This window comes from Homo sapiens, chromosome 2 (genome assembly GCF_000001405.40).
Source record: "Homo sapiens chromosome 2, GRCh38.p14 Primary Assembly".
In the NCBI taxonomy this organism is placed as follows: Eukaryota; Metazoa; Chordata; class Mammalia; order Primates; family Hominidae; genus Homo; species Homo sapiens.
In genome coordinates this window covers 3,693,821-3,707,686 of record NC_000002.12, presented here as the reverse complement: position 1 = coordinate 3,707,686, position 13,866 = coordinate 3,693,821, and the positions used below count along the sequence as shown (strand labels likewise).

General features: G+C 44.3%; 2 protein-coding genes and 1 long non-coding RNA gene across 19 annotated transcripts in view; 1 reads left to right on the top strand and 2 right to left on the bottom strand.

Annotated features, from left to right (window-relative positions):
* DCDC2C (doublecortin domain containing 2C) overlaps positions 1-4,112 on the bottom strand; it is a 144,434-nt gene extending 140,322 nt beyond the window's left edge. For 10 of the 12 annotated variants that reach the window (XR_007081579.1, NM_001287444.2, XM_047445725.1 and 7 more), the window contains exon 1: positions 3,649-4,112. Coding sequence is in view for 11 of the 12 variants with exons in the window: in NM_001287444.2 (NP_001274373.1) it covers positions 3,649-3,935 (287 nt within the window). In the remaining variant the exon portion in view is untranslated. Of the gene's footprint in view, positions 1-708; positions 846-3,648 lie in introns of those variants that run through there. The other 2 variants (NM_001365580.2, XM_047445727.1) reach the window with 1 other exon arrangement.
* Positions 4,113-4,186: 74 nt separating this feature from the next.
* Positions 4,187-5,127, top strand: LOC105373393 (uncharacterized). Its single transcript, XR_922732.1, has 3 exons — positions 4,187-4,228; positions 4,573-4,879; positions 5,048-5,127. It is a non-coding gene; the product is annotated as an uncharacterized LOC105373393 (long non-coding RNA).
* ALLC (allantoicase) overlaps positions 5,016-13,866 on the bottom strand; it is a 56,853-nt gene continuing 48,002 nt past the window's right edge. For all 6 annotated transcript variants that reach the window (XM_017004495.2, NM_018436.4, XM_011510369.3 and 3 more), the window contains 5 exons: positions 11,815-11,970; positions 11,339-11,412; positions 10,231-10,339; positions 6,051-6,175; positions 5,016-5,324 (listed from right to left, as the gene is read on the bottom strand). In XM_017004495.2, the coding sequence (XP_016859984.1) occupies positions 5,124-5,324; positions 6,051-6,175; positions 10,231-10,339; positions 11,339-11,412; positions 11,815-11,970 (665 nt within the window). In that variant the 3' untranslated portion in view covers positions 5,016-5,123. The remainder of the gene's footprint in view (positions 5,325-6,050; positions 6,176-10,230; positions 10,340-11,338; positions 11,413-11,814; positions 11,971-13,866) is intronic.

Here is a 13,866-nt window from a genome sequence, read left to right as displayed (position 1 = left end):
CTGAGGCGGACAGGGCCTCACAGGTCCAGATAGCGGAGATGCACGCAGCTACAACCAAGTCCTCTGAACAATCAAATCCTCTATTTTTTCCAAGGGAGACCAAAAGTTCATATTATTACATGAGTTCTCCCAATTATAAAATGTTGCAGCCAACTCAAATCTTTGAAAATTGTATGAACTGAACAAAACATGGCTGCTGGCTGAGTTCAGCCTGAGCCTCTCCACTTGCTTAGAGGCCCTTGTATGCACTCTTCACTAGCTTAGTCTAGTCTTCCTGTTTTCCAAATAAATATTTTAAATTTGTTCTAAATTCCCAAATTCCATATTTGTTTATGAACATTAATCTCCCAAATGAGACATCTGATTTTCATTACATGGAACCAAAAAATAAAATTTAACACAGAAAAAAAGCATAAAAAGATCCTACAAAAACACAAAATACTATTTATTATTTCAATGTTGCACTCCCAAGAACTTATAAAAACAGAAAGAAAGGACAAATAGTTCCTCAGACAGCCCATGACCTGAGGTCTTTAACTCAGGCACATAGAGAAGCCTGCTGGGTGGGCTTGGCTTGCTCTGAGGTGGGCGGGGAGTAGGTCTGTGAAGCAGTGATGGGACCATGAGGTGCAAGCTCCCTCCCGGCTACTTCCAGAGAACAAAGGAAGGGAAGAAACCACCCATGAGAATCCGTGCCAGGCACCTTACCCTACTGCATTCATTCCATTCTCCCAACCGTACCGCAGAGTGGATGTGAAGCCAGCCTGCTTTATGGATGAGGAAACCAAGTCTTGGAGAGGTTATTTCACTTGCTGAACGTTACTCAGGTAGACAAAGCCAGGATTAAATTCCACCAGTCTCTGGCTCTGAGGCCAACATTCCTGTCATCTATCACAACTTCCTCTCCACCCACTTTTCCTCTTTCTCCTGTCATCTGCGGCTAGTTCCCAGGTACAAATGGGTGGCCAGGGAGATGAGAGGAAAAGGCTGGGTTGAGGAAGAACGAGGAGACTTTGATTCAAATAGCATGTTCACATTCATGTCTCAGCAACAAGCTCTAAAGTAAACAGGGTAATATTCCTAAGCATTCAAATTCTTTGGGGTCCCTCCCCTAAACACATACACACACACACGCACACACATGCGTGCACACATACACAACACCCTGATTTAGATTTTGTTGTAAATGTGGCTTTCTCCACAAAAGAAATATTAATTCTAGGCTTTATATGACACGTCATTGTTTTGAAAAGTAATTATTATCTTATAATATTTTGTTTTATAAAGAAAAAAATTATGTCCTTTGGGTCTCAAATTATTTTCTTCCAGAAAATGCAGGAAATGTCTGAGTAATGGCTGGATATTGGATAGATTTGTTGGTGTTTGTCTTTTTAATGCACCATCTTGAAACCACTATTATGAGGGGAGCTCCCGGATCACTAATATATCAACAGGCTTCACTTCAAAGTTCATTTGCTGGTGACACAATTAGAATATTATTTTCCAGTGAAAATTAATTGAACTGCTCAATGGCTTAGCAATTACAGAATATAAATTTCCAAGAGCTAGTTTACTTTACTAATACCAGTGAAAATCCAGCCACATTTTTCAGAGCTTTGTTCACCAAAGTCTGAATTCCAATTTCAGACTCACTGACCTAAAAAAAACTGAAGAAAAGGAACCCCACGTGCTCTCTATGTTGAACTTCACATGCAGACATGGCTCATCTATTTTACAGCAGTGAAGATGCATGGATAATAGATAATGCAAAATAACCCAGGCTGTCTGCCACACGGACCCCAACTCCCCTCCCTCTGCAGTGGGTGACATTTCTTTCCTCCCAAAAAGTAAAATAAACAGTAAGAGCACTGGGAAGAAAAACATCTCAATTTTTTCTCAATATTTTTGCTACATGTCCAAAACATTTTAAATAAACCATGAGACTCGAGACTCTCTCTACAAAACTGGAGGTACAACACGGTCTGGTTAGAAAATATCCAGCCCCACAGCAAGGGGAAAGAGTAACATCTCCCAGGCACACTCCAGGCTTCGTGGCAGGTGCTTGATACGTTTCCTTCCTCATTTGCTAACATGTAAAACACAGGCCAATTTTACAAGAAAATGTCTTGGGATAAAATTAAATACTTTTCATTATATATGTATCGAAAGGGACTTTAAAGGCAGTTTTTGTAGAGATATATTCTTTAATTGTAAATCAGCACTGAACACTGGATCCTGGGTAGGATGTCAGTTCTAGATATTCACACCATCTGACTAGCTTGGAAAAAATAATCACAAATCACATGGCTATAAAGGAATATAATTTTGTCCATGAATTCTAATACATAACAGGATTATCATAGTAATAAATTTCAATCTGAAATATGCTAATCCAGATTCTACCTCTTAGCAACTGTGATGCCTGTGACTTACGACTTTTCTTCAGAAACAACTGAATGGTAAATTCACATCTTTGCAAATGCCACTAAGAATTTGGAACCATACACCAGCCCTCATACTAAATCCTACTACTTTTTCAAAAAACAACAAACAAAACTCAAGCTGCTGATTTAATTCAGAGCATTTTTGAACGGAGAGCATTTGAAAGAAGAAAATGGAAATTCTCTCTGGGGAATCTCACTTTTATCTCAGCCCTGAAGAATGTCCCCACACAAAGCTATACAAAAGGAGTAGTTCACAGTCAAAAAATAAGTAAACCTACAAGGAAACAGAGAATCAGGAGAGAAAAGCAGCTGAGATCACAGAAAGCAGACACAGGCTGCAATAATGGGATTACAGACACAAACCGTGGGAGGGCAATAGTTTAATTAAAGGCAAGCTTGAAAATGCACGCAGGACCAAGTGATGGACACAGAGTGAGAGGGGTCACCCTGAGCGATTTCAAATGGGAACTGCCCAACCCGCCCCATTCCCAGGCCCTGCCCCCCACGCCCCTCCCCCCCACGCCCCTCCCCCCTCCCCCTCCCCTACACTCCTCCCCACGCCCCCCACGCCCCTCTCCACACCCCTCCCCCATGCCCCTCTCCACACCCCTCCCCCACGCCCCTCTCCACACCCCTCCCCCACGCCCCCCACGCCCCTCTCCACACCCCTCCCCCATGCCCTCCTCCACACCCGTTTCTGCCCCATGCCCCTCCCCCACGCCCCTCCCCCCTCCCCCTCCCCTACACTCCTCCCCACGCCCCCCACGCCCCTCTCCACACCCCTCCCCCATGCCCCTCTCCACACCCCTCCCCCACGCCCCTCTCCACACCCCTCCCCCACGCCCCCCACGCCCCTCTCCACACCCCTCCCCCACGCCCTCCTCCACACCCCTGTTTCTGCCCCACGCCCCTCCCCCACGCCCTCCTGGCCGTCTCTGGGGCGGTCCTGAATCGCTGCCGGCCAGGGCCCGCCCTGCCCCATAGGAAGGGACCCTGGGGGCGGGGCTGCCTCGGCTTCGCCCCCAGGAAACCACGTGGCCTGGGGCGGCCCGACGCCGGCTGCGCTGGATCCACGCCGAAAGATGGGCGCCCGAGCCGGGAGGGAAGCCTGGGGAGGACACCTGGGGGGCACGGCCCTGACCACGCTCAGACCCAAGAGGGCGGGGAGGGGCGCAGGGCGCGTGGGGGGCGCGGGCGCACTTACTCGAGCTCCTTGAAGCGCTCGCGGCCCGCCGCCACGTACTTGCCGCCCGCCTGCAGCGCGTCCAGCCCCAGCACCCGGTGCCCACGCGTGGGCGTGAAGAGGCGGCGCACGCCGAACGGGACGTCCACCTGCTCCGTGAGCTGCTCCAGCAGCGCCTCGAAGGTGGCCGCGCGGCGCCGCGACAGCACGAACTTCTTGCCCACGTAGAACGGGTCCCCGTTGCGGTACACCACGATGGTCTTGGCGGGCGTGGTGTCCACCGGCGCGGAGGGCCCGCGGGTTCCCATAGCCGCGCCCCGCTCCTCGCTCGCCGGGGCCGAGAGGCTGCGGCAGCGCGGGCAGCGACGCCTGCAGAGCCGCGCCCAGGCCCGGGCACCGCCGACGGGAGGTCCGCTCCAGCCGCTGGCGCAGGACGGGGACGGGACGGGGACGGGACGGGGGCTGGACGGGGACGGGACGGGGCTGCCAGGCGGGCGGAGGCTGCGTGTTGACGCGACCCTGGGCGATTGTGACCGCCTGGCCGCCAGGGCGAGGGGCTCGGGGCCGGGGCAGGAGACGGGGCGACGGGGAACCCGGGCAGGTGAGCAGGCGGCACGGGGCAGGGACAGGTGATTGGGTAATGGGGAGCCCAAGCAGGTGAGGCGCGGCACAGGGCGGAGACAGGTGAGGGGGCAACGGGGAGCCCGGGCAGGTGAGGGGCGTGGCGGCAGAGCTCAGGAAAAGAGGAGGAGGAGGCGGCTAGCATGATTGTGCTGAGCGCCCCGGGACGCCCACCGTGCCTCCTCCCCCTACACTCGCCGCCTTCCTCTGTAGAAGCGGTAGAGAGGAGGGTTAGGGAGGGACCAGGACCATCTTGACAATCAACATTGGATGGGTGCTGGGATCTGCTTCACATTTTTTGAGCCTCTGTTTCTTTGATCTTAGGTTGAATTTGACCGGTTCAGCCCCAGTGTCTTCCAGGACTCCTGGCCCAGAGTGGGGAATTTGAGCTTTTCCACCAGAGGAGGAGGTGTGCAGAGCCACTGGGAGGCCGTGAGGAACCGCGCTATAGCCGCTGGTGTGCGGTGTCAGGCGCGTGCCATTCAGAACGCATCCTCATTGGGGAATGATTCAAAGGGAGAGGGGGTCTTTGGAAGAATCGTTCCTACTCTGGGTAAAGATAGGCCAGTCCCCTTGAGTGATTCTAGACAGTCAGTAGGCTACATGTTACGGCTGGAAGTCCACACCGAAGGTACAGATATTGATATTATGAGTATTAATATCTTATAATGTTCAAAAAAAGTAGTTCCGTAGAGACCACCAGTCACAGCCATAGCCAGTATGTAAGCTACTAAATGCCTCATAGCAACATTAAATACAGAGATCAATTTGTGAGACGACCACTTTATTAAATCACCAGGTGTTCAAAACATTTGAAAAGAAGACTATGACTGGGAAATTACTGCTGTGTGTCCGACACCGGGGCTTTGTGTGTGTTAAGGGTTTGCTTTGAAGCTCACCGAGAACTTCAACATGGGCTTCTCCCGGGGCCTCAGGAGGCAGATGGAGCTGGGGAAGCCCCGGAGCCGAAGGCGGCTCACTCCCCCGTCGGGGACGATGGTGAGCCTGGCGTGAGTGATGACATCTTGGAGCTCTAGGGTCAGGCTATCGAACAGATGACTTTGGTTGGGAGACAACTGAAAAGCAAGCAGATGCAGAGGTCCTAGTCTGTTAACAGGACATGTGTGGCCGAATGAGCCCACGGCCCGGGCAAACCTTTGGCTTAGACTTAACCGAAGGGGCTTTAAAATAAGTTATTAATTGATGATAATTGGGCTTTCCATGAAAATCTGCTAGTAGGGATAGGATGCCCAAATAATACATGAATAAGCAGGCCCCAATAAACAATTGATGGGCAACCTAAATGCCCATCAGTTGTTTCTAATAGTTGATTATACATAAGCAAATTGATAAGAAAATGAAGGAAGAGACCATCTTGGTCTCTCCCGGAGATTATTTCCTATCTTTACATGGGAGCAGCTCTCACCTCTAGCCTGACCCTCTTTCTAAATCAAAGAAGACACTTGTGGAATATCTCAGAGCATCCATCCTGCAGGTGGACACGCCATTAGAGCTTTAAATGTGCTAGTCGCCCCTTCTACAAAGTTAAACATGATGCAGAGACATGTTTCCACGTATGTATTCTGAACATTTAACAATTTTGTTCTAATAAAATTTGGAAATACAAAAGTGGAGAGAAATAGAGCCTTTCTTCTTAAAGTTTGCAGATAGGGGTTTTAAACCTCATTCGTTTTACCATTAAACTGAGCAGAAACTTTGGAGCGTATCCTAATCCTTCAAAAGAGAATCTTAGGGAAATAGCACAGTCTGAGTGCTGGATCCGAATAACATGCCACACGAACCTTGGTCACTGGAAGCAGTGGTTTCCACTTGTGGGCCGGGAGAATCCACTTTTGCCTGATCACGGCTTCTTCTTCCTGAGTTGTCAGGATGCACCCATCCACTTTACAGCTGTCAGGAGCATTGCCTGTTGGAGCAAAACACAGCGTGATTTTCTGCCCGCATTTGCACTCAGTTTGGCGTATAGGATATCATGCTTTTTTAATAAGATCAAAAACCCAGCAAAAAACAAGTCCCTGCTCTTCCTGAGCAAAAGCAAAGGTATGAAGTATGTGAGGGAAGGAACAAACCGGTTTGTGAGGCTCAGATTGTCTCATGAAATAGACATTTCTTTTTCAGAGGACTCAGAAGCAGTCCGCCATATGTGAAGGGGCTGGCGCATTTCAATTTGCATGTATAGCGTTCTCACTTTGAAATCTGAATGTATTTGATAAGCTTCCTCAATTGCAGATTTAATTACTTGCAGACTGCTATGTGGCTCATCTGAAATTATTATGAAGCTGGAAAATATTTTCCTATGACATATTTTTTAACATGACAATCAAAAGGAAATACTGAGTTTTATGTTAGCTAGCGCTGGGCACCAGCCACACACGTGTATTTGGGGATTTCTGAGTCATCTTCAGGTGAGAGTATATGGTCCTGAGATTCTTCTCTCTTTGGAATATCATAGGAATCGTGGGCTCAGTGGGGTTAGAGGACCTTGAGGGAAAGGTCCCACTCTCTTTGAGAAGAGAGAACTTCTACTGGAGCTCTTTAGGATCAACAGAGGAGGAGCTGCTAATCAAGAACCCTGGAAAAGAGGAGACTGTGGCTCACATGCCCCCTTTGTGGCCCATCTCTTAAAACGGTAGTCTCCAGGGTGGGCGAACATGCCCCTGGGGTGCATACGGACACAAAGGATGCAAGTAGAGAACATTAGAGCTGCTATTTCTATTTGTCTGATATACATACATATGTATGTGTATATTAAGCTTTGTGTATTTGATATAACCTACTATATTATTGCTATAAGTGGATACTGCCATGCTCCCTCATTTCCATTACAGTCATCATATTGTATGTACCAGAGGTATCCTGAGTGTTTGACAGTGGTAGATTCATGACCTGTTGCAGTTTTGGGTGTCTGCTTAAGTGGATTTACTGTTTGTTATCTAGTTTTAACTAAAGCATCCCTCACAAAAATAAGTAAGTTATTTTAAACCATTCATGCAGAGAACTGTGGATTAAAGATACCATAAAAAATGCAAGTATGTATGAACAAGAAAATCCAGAACTGCCATTTCACCTGACCCTCAGTCAGCCACATTGAAAAGTAAAAACCATGGCCACATAACCAGATCTAAAATGCAGTCTTAAAAAAACAAGCAATGGGGAAATGAATCCCAATTCAATAAATGGTGCTGGGATAATGGGCTAGCCATATGCAGAAGATTGAAACAGGACCCCTTCCTTACACCATATACAAAAATCAACTCAAGATTGATTAAAGGCTTAAATGTAAAACCCAAAACTATAAACACCCTGGAAGATAACTTAGGAAATACCATTCTGGACATAGGAACTGGCAAAGATTTCATGATGAAAATGCCAAAAACAATTGCAACAAAAGCAAAAAAAATGACAAATGGGATCTAATTAAACTAAAGAGCTTCTGCACAGCAAAATAAACTATCAGCAGAGTAAACAGACAACCTACGGAATGGGAGAAAATATTTGCAACCTATGGTTCTTTCAAAGGTCTAATATCCAGAATCTATAAGGAATTTAAACAAATTTACAAGCAAAAAACAACCCCATTAAAAAGTTGGCCAAGGACATAAACAAATGCTTTTCAAAAGAAGACATACATGCAGCCAACAAGCATATGAAAAAATGGCTGACATCACTAATCATTAGAGAAATGCAAATCAAAACCACTGGGAGATACAATCTCCCAGTCAGAATGGCTGTTATGAAAAAATCAAAAAATAACAGTTGTTGACAAGGTTGTGGAGAAAAGGGAACATATATACCCTGCTGGTGGGAGTGTAAATTAGTTCAGCCATTGTGGAAAGTGTTGTGGCGATTCCTCAAAGAACTAAAAACAGAATTACCATTGGACTCGGCAATCCCATTATTTGGCATATACCCAAAGGAATATAAATCATTCTGCCATAAAGACATGCACATGTATGTTCATTGCAGCACTGTTCACAATAGCAAAGACGTGGAATCAACCTAAATGTCCATCAATTGTAGACTGGCTAAAGAAAATATGATACATATACAACATGGAATACTATGCAGCCACAAAAAGGAATGAGATAATGTCCTTTGCAGCAACATGGATGCAGCTGGAGAGCATTATTCTTGGCAAACTAACGCAGGAACAGAAAACCAAATACTATATGTTTACATAAGTGGCAGCTAAATAATGGGAACACATGGACACTGGGGCATAATTGAAGGTGGAGGGTGGGAGGAGGGAGATCAGGCAAAAATACTTATCGGGTACCATACTTGATACCTACGTGATAAAATAATCTGTACACCAAAACCCCATGACACAAGTTTACCTATATAACAAACCTGCACATTTACCCTTGAACCTAAAATAATAGTTAAAAGAAAAAACAGATAAAATGCCGTCTTTCCAAAATAAGTTAAAATTACCAAGACTTCTTGAAATAATTATAGGCACTACTGTTAATGATGAGCCTGGCCTTGAATTTGATATAATGGTTAGTAATTGAGTAAAGTCACAATAATTCCCAAGACATTTAAAAACCACTCACCCAGTGCAGCACACCAACATGGCACATGTATATATATGTAACAAACCCGCACGTTGTACACATGTACCCTAAAACTTAAAGTATAATTAAATAAATAAATAAATAAAAATAAAAACCACTCACCCAAAACATGAATACAAAATGCCACTATTTATTCAAAGATGGCTAACGTGGAATACTCAATCCAGTATTTATAAAATGTCACATAACAATTGTAGAAGTGTACCAACTTCTTTTGAATTGTCTTAATAATACACATATGTATTTCATAAGAAAGTAAATACAGAATATCAAGGTTGTTTGTCCAAATATTTTTTAAACACATAGAGGTGTACGGTTTTAAAAATGTGTAAACCACTGCCTTAAAAGTGAAGCCTGGGGAAGAAATGGTCACTCCCCTTCCCCGGTCAATCTGCTTAGGACCCTTCTCTGTAAAAAGGTGCCTCCCATCCCGGTGCTTTTCACAGGCTCTTTTTCCAAGGGGGATGCAGAGCCTCTATGGTAAAGAGCCGGACAGTGTCATGGAATCTTGTGTGACTTTGGGGGTCATCCAGCCCAAATGTGAATTTTATAGAGGAGTTACTAAAGTTCAAAGGGTTGGCTGGGCATGGTCTCACACCTGTAATCCCACCACTTTGGGAGGCCGAGACGGGCGTATCACCTGAGGTCAGGAGTTCAAGACCAGCCTGGTCAACATGGTGAAACCCCGTCTCTACTAACAATACAAAAATTAGCCAGGCATGATGGCGGGCACCTGTAATCCCAGCTACTCAGGAGGCAGAGGCAGGAAGAATCGCTTGAACCCAGGAGGCAGAGGTTGCAGTGAGCCAAGATCATGCCACTGCACTCCAACCTGGGTGACAAAGCAAGACTCCATCTCAAAAATAAATAAATAAGGGTCGGGCGCAGTGGCTCAGGCCTGTAATCCCAGCACTTTGGGAGGCTGCGACGGGTGAATCACCTGAGGTCAGGAGTTCGAGACCAGCCTGGCCAACATGGCAAAAACCCATCTCTACTAAAAATACAAAATTAGCTGGGTATTGTCTAGGATGCCTGTAATCCCAGCTACTCGGGAGGCTGAGGCAGGAGAATCGCTTGGACCCTGGAGGTGGAGGTTGCAGTGAGCTGAGATTGCGCCACTGCACTCCAGGCTGGGCGACACAGCAAGACTCCATCTCAAAAAAATAAATAAAAGATAGATAGATAGATAGATAGATAGATAGATAGATAGATAGATAGACAGACAGACAGAGTTCTAAGGGTTAAAGTAGCATGCTCAAAATTACACAGCTTAAACGGGGAATCCACACCGAAAGTCCAGTGTCCTCAGTCCCACTTCCATAGAACTCAGTCTTTAGAATAAACAAACCAATTATAGGGTACTTCTTTATGGCTTTGCATTTACCTTCAAAATATTTTGTGTCAATTTCAATTCGAGTTATTACTCCAGGATGTGCCAATCGGAAAACTGCCCATTCACAACCCGGAACCAAGAGAATGCCATTCTCATCATTCTGGAATTCAGAAGAGAAGAAAATGGTAAACGAACTTGGAGTCATTCAAGAAACCAGTCCCGAAAACCAACAGGTGAAAAAGGTTGACGTGTTTCTTTTATTTCTTACTATAGAAGAGTGTTTCCTGTGGCCTGATGTGTAAATCACTTTCATGTAAATTGCCTCTTTGCTATCATTTCTTAAATGTCTCTTGCCAATTTGTGAGTTCATTGGGTCCCAGATACGTTTTTCTAAATTTCTATGTCAATTATAGATCCCTGCAAAATGTTATACGTGCAGCAATCTTCGTCTATTCCAGTCCATAGTTCCTCTAATTAGTTTGTTTTGACCTTTTAAGGTACATATTTTGTTGGTCAAACCTATACTGATACATGATGTGCGTTCAAACCTTAGTTTTGAGAACGGAGAGTCTGTTCATTGATATCTCAAAGCATCAGGTGACATGAAATCTAACTTAGGAAGGGGAGGGCACTTTTCTGACCAAGTTTTTGGTGGGATTTGCAAATTGAAAGGCATTGTATTTTTTGTTTCACTTCATCTTGGTTTCTCTATCTCAAATTAGTTACTGGCCAAATTAAACAGCTGCATGGACTCTAGAGCGCCCTGTCCATCACAAGTTCACATAAGTGGTGTAATCCTGAGATACACAGATATCAAACATTGCTAAACTAGTGGTTCTTCCCCAGATCTCCCAACACATTTATTCATAACTTTTGTATTATTAAATCGCAGCTCCTTTTGTTTCTTTATTGAAGAAACAGAGGAATGTTCCAAAAATGCATTGGCGTAGCTGGCAATGACCAGTATGTTTGGGCTTCTGAGTCTCTGCCCTGATATTATGAAAACAGTGGGAAATTTGGAAAATATAAATCATAGTAATTAGCATTTAGAACAATGCATATGAGGTTTCTAAAATGTGCAAAAGTTTATTTAAAAGAAAAAGTTCCAAAAAATACTTTTAAGAAAAACTTTAAACCATAGTTATTTTTAACTTCTTACTTCTAATATTGGTGGCCGGTCCAGCCTTCTTGCAGTTTCCCAACCATCCGCCATAGACTTTGCCCCGCCAACTCCTACAGAAAATAACATTGTTGAATGGTAAACTGCATGATTTTAACTATGAGGATGAATACATTGCTGTAATTAAATTACAGATCTTATGCATCTGAGCATTGCTACATAAGTTATTTTCATTAAAGTTAATGTTTCAGTAAATTCACAAACAATCATAGGGTTAGTTAAATTTTACTTTTCCTTTTAAAGCAGCTACTTAGGCCAAAATTAGGTAGAAAAATTGGTAATGTTGACTTATTTCATGTCATAAAGGCATCAAATCCTACACATGGAAGATTAATCTCATCCACTGCTGTGCTTTGAGATGTGCCTTTCCTTTTAAATCACTCTGACCATATTGGGGTATTTAATGCCGGTACCCAGACTTCCTAAATAAGCCAGCTCCAAGAATATCATCTTACCTATTATATTGTTTGGGTGCCCAAACTTAGCATTACTAAATCCTACACAGACACCCCCAAAAGCGATGGCCACTAGGTCTGCAGGTTCTTTGGGGTCAGTTGCAGTCCAGTCTTTTTGTCCAGTACCGAATACTCTAAGTCGTGCAATTCCACCATCTGAAAAGGAAAGGTGCCTTAGTTATTGTTTGTAAAAATGGCTGCTTGTGTATCATACACTACAGGACCCTCCTGTCTTCTCCAGTGTCATCTCTTGGTAGGCTTTGGCCACACCCACCTGCTGTTTCTCAAATACAACAAGCCCACTGCCCCAGGGCCTTTGCACTTGATATTACCCTGTACCAGAACAACTTTCCCAGCTCTCCAAAAGATTACTTATGTTCCTCACCTTAAAGGCATGGCCTCAGAAAAGTCTTCCCTCTCATGCTCTGAAGTTGTCTCCTCCCTCCTCCATTCAGCCACTGCCTGACTCCCCAGGTTACATTTTATCATATCTCTTTGTTATTTACTCCAGAGCTCTAATCACAGCCTGAAATTATCTTTTTAAGTTCCTGCTAAAATCAGTCTCCAATACCCAGAATGCGAAATCCTTGTAGGCCAGACCACTTACCTGTGTTGTTCACTTCTGTACCACTCTTGTATCGTCTCTACCTAGAAGAGGTCTGGGCACATAGTAGGCATTGAAGTTTTTTTCATTAAATGAACAACTCCAAGGTCAAACAGCATTCGGGAAATTCACCATACAGATAATGTTTCGTGCTAGAAATAAGCATCGCTGACTCCCACACAGACTCAGACAAGAGAACCTTATGTTTTTATTTTTACAACACCACCCTGCTTAGCAATGTGATTCAGAATACAAAAGATAATATTCACAAAATCAAATTGCTGCTGAGAACCACAGCAGCCTGAAATTAGGTCTGCAGAGCAGCAAATAGCTACCAAAATCAACTCACAGCATCTGATTCTAGTAGAACGAATGTTTTGTTTCTTCGAATATTAATTGCTAGAAGGTGGAAACCAAGCATTTTTAATATAGAAAATTAATTTAATCAAAATATTGTACTAAAACATGCCCTATATGTTTTTATTTTACAAATTTAGTGAAAATGAGTGATCTGAAAATTTTTTGGTAAAACAATGGAAGTCTTGCTATTTACAACAAATAAAACCAAAAACTTCATTGGCATAAAACCCTAGAAAATATCCTAGAGGGAGTCATTCAGCAGGAGCCGGGTTATGAGAGTAATATCACTGCCATTCTAGTTCATTAAATATTATAATTGGCTTTAATGGCATAGAAGATATTCGTCTGTTGAAAGTGAAGTCGATTTCACATTTTAAAAAATAAGATTCTTCTTTACAGAGTTAATATCCAAACTTGCTTTTAGTCACAGCTGCCAAGGAATCCCAGAAATGACTCTTCATCCTCTGAGTACATCTCATTTAAACCAACCCATTCCCACCCAGTGTGTCCCTGTAACATCAGCCAGGTTTCCCCAGCTTCCTTTCCCTTTACACCTGGATCCCAGGTGGAATCCTCATGGAGCAATTAAAGATGCCAGTAAGAGCTGGGACATGAAATCTGCATGCAGGCATTGCCCATCTCTCCTCTTCAGGCCATCAATGCTGACCAATTAGGAAAGAGCTTTCATGTGCTTAGGGACCCTTCATATTCAACCCAGAAAAGCAGGGCTTCCACTCAGAAACTATTTTAGACCCTCCCTCAACTCGTGAATCCTGTACAAATTGGGTTGGACATATAAAGTTGCTATTTTGGTGGATCAGAAATAGTCAAATAGAAATGTTTATGGCTCTACCAAAATACTTTTGTTGTATGTATCACTATTTTGCAGTTTTTTGTTTTTTTTCTTTTGTTTTCTTTTTGAGACAGAGTCTCACTCTGGTTGCCCAGGCTGGAATGCAGTGGCACGATCTCGGCTCACTGCAACCTCCGCCTCCCGGGTTCAGGCGATTCTGCTGCCTCAGCCTCCCAACTAGCCGGGATTACAGGCACCCGCCACCACACCTGGCTAATTTTTGTATTTTTAGTAG